The following is a 2,715-nucleotide window of genomic DNA, read 5'->3' as shown; positions in this document are numbered from 1 at the left end:
TTGCTTTACTTGATTCCTTAATTATGAGAAGGGTTTGGGTTTAGCATATTACTTTTTAGACATCTAACCAAACTAACAATTTAAGTATTTTCCCTCATTACTTACATAAGTTGTAATAAAACCTGGAATTTATGGTAATTATTAAGATGTCGACAGCTGTATTAAAATAACTTAGTAGATTTGGCATGAAAGCAAATGCCAGGTCTGAGGATGAAGACAATTCCACCAGCAAACACTGCTACTTTGATTCATTGTGACTAGCATTGGGTAGGTTGCATACCCTTCCATGTAATTCATAAGAGATTTAGGATCTGAACACTCAAAATCCTCGTGTGTTGAAATTTTACATACGTTTTTTACTGGTTCTTATCTGAAGGACTCAATTCATTTTGCAATCCTCTAAAGACTTATTTGTGGTAATGGGTGAGTCTGATTGGCAGGTGCAATACTGTAAAGTGGAAACTGGGACACAGATACTTTTCTCAATTTTACTTTGGTGAAGAGATTCTAGCAGCATGAGAATGACAGATATTTGGATCTTTAGGGAATAATGGAAAAACTGAAGGATATTATTATCACAGAATGGATTTTGTGTCATTTTTGGTTCTCACTACAAAGGAAGATGTGAAAATGTGGTTTGCTAACTTTAGTACTTCATAGCCTAAGACAGTCTATGCTTTAAACCCCAGAGAGTTTTTTTAGTACTTATTTCCCACACTCTGAAGCCTAAGTGATCATTAGATGAAAACTGAATTTTTATTTTTTTATCCTATTATACCAGATTCTCAGGAAAAAAGCTACTGACATATACTGTGACAAGTCACTGCATCCAAAATGCTATTTAAATTGTTGCTGAGTGGGTTAATTTTTATAAAATCAATTTCATGTTGTGGCTGGTGATAAACCTTGGCAATCTTTGATTGATATGTCTTTTTTTTAACCCACTTTGCCTAAAAATTAACCTTCTTTAAAATTGATACCTGTATCTCATCGCTTTTAATTTGTATAAGTGAATTTTAAAAAGACTCTTTTTTTTAATCACCACATGACTGTCTTTTCTAGGAACAGTGGTGGCACCATAATATGCTTTTTTACTTCAGGGATATATAAAACCGTTCCCATGATCATATGTCCAATTTGCATGTGAATCAGCGCACATTGAAAGTAACCCTGACTAGGAATGTTTTCATTTTGTTTTTGGAGAGTACACTCTAAGATAAATAATAAGGTTTACATTGTGTTTTCAGAGTATAGAGTCTAGATCAGTGACAAGCAACCTAAGACATACCTAACAAATTTTAATTGCCACCTTTTACCTCATACAAAGCATCACAATTCAGACAGTGTAATAAAAATCTCCAGAAATCGACTTTATAATTTTTTTTCCAGAAGCTGTGGATTGGAGGGGATTAACATGTGAGTGAGTCAAGCCCCATCCCAAGTCCCGTAGCATATTGGGGATTCATACAGTCAAGTGAAGAGTGAAACAACCAGAACCACCTATCTGCGTGGGAATGTAGTGGACCTTTGTGATGTTCTAGGGTTTAGAACTGCTCTTCTCAGCCTGAGCAAAGCAAAGAGAAAATCCTGCAAACATGGGAGGAAATCCAAAACAAATAAGGGCAATGGTCCACCTCTTACATATCTTGCGTCTTCAGTGCCTTTTACAGTGTCTGGCACAGAGTAAGCAGTTAGTTGTGGTGAATGGAATGATCTAACTCTAGGCCATCTTTGTTGTTAATTGTATTAACATGAGACATTTTGGACAACGCATTTCAGCTTATTAAAACTCAGTTTCACCATATGAAATGTGGAAATAATAATAATCCCTACCTGAAAAGGATATTTTTGGAGCACTAATGATATAATGCATTTGTAAGAATGTATCTTTCTGATGAAATTCAATGAGAATATTTTTATTTTACCAAAAACAGTATTTAGGTCTAGTCGTTTTATTTTTTCTGAACTGGACTATATAGAAAAACATTTTTTAATATTAACAATCTAATTTCCATAAAGCCTGCCCCCTAAGGATGTTTCCTTGTATTATGTATCACCCTTTATGTTTCTTACATAGTTGTGTTTAAATAGGTAAACTTATTTGTGCCTCTCACTAGCCTTGTTATATAAAGCCAAGATATCTTCATTCCAAAAAGATAAACTAACTAGTGATCAGTTTTTTAGATGCCCCTGAAAAAAAGAGAAATGATTTCAGGCTGTGAACTTGTCAAACACCTTAAGCCTCTTTGCACTGGTAGCCATACCTTGCTTCTATGATACAGTGACCCTATCGGGGTAGAAAGGCAATGGCGCTCCTTGGAGTTGTACATTGCCTGAAAATATTCTTGCTTCCCAGATATGACACACCAGGGACATGTTTTGGGACACCCAGAAGCAATCTGAGAGCTAATCTTTAGTGGCACTTAGTACTTGTCAGCTTTGTGGCATATCTCTATGTCTCCCTTTGATCCAGCCTCCTCTCTGTAGCTGGAGAATCATCTTTCTGTAACTCATCCTTGAGAGAGGTGCTCACCTCCCTCACCAGCCTCCATCCTTCGAGGGCTTAAAAGCTTTCACTTTCTGGCTGGGCGCCGTGGCTCACACCTGTAATCCCAGCACTTTGGGAGGCAGAGGTGAGTGGATCACCTGAGGTCAAGAGTTTGAGAACAGCCTGGCCAACATGGCAAAACCCTGTCTCTACTAAAAAATACAAAA

At 36.8% G+C, this 2,715-nt stretch overlaps 1 annotated feature.

Annotated features, from left to right (window-relative positions):
• Positions 1,508–1,802: a silencer, noted in NCBI's record as "tiled region #3904; K562 Repressive non-DNase unmatched - State 24:Quies". NCBI's record gives its function as "represses a minimal TATA promoter and a strong SV40 promoter by Sharpr-MPRA in K562 cells {active_cell/tissue: K562}" and the evidence as "EXISTENCE:reporter gene assay evidence [ECO:0000049][PMID:27701403]".

This window comes from Homo sapiens, chromosome 12 (genome assembly GCF_000001405.40).
Source record: "Homo sapiens chromosome 12, GRCh38.p14 Primary Assembly".
NCBI classification, from domain to species: Eukaryota; Metazoa; Chordata; class Mammalia; order Primates; family Hominidae; genus Homo; species Homo sapiens.
Note: the sequence above shows the minus strand (reverse complement) of the source record. Positions and strands in the feature narration are given on the sequence as shown.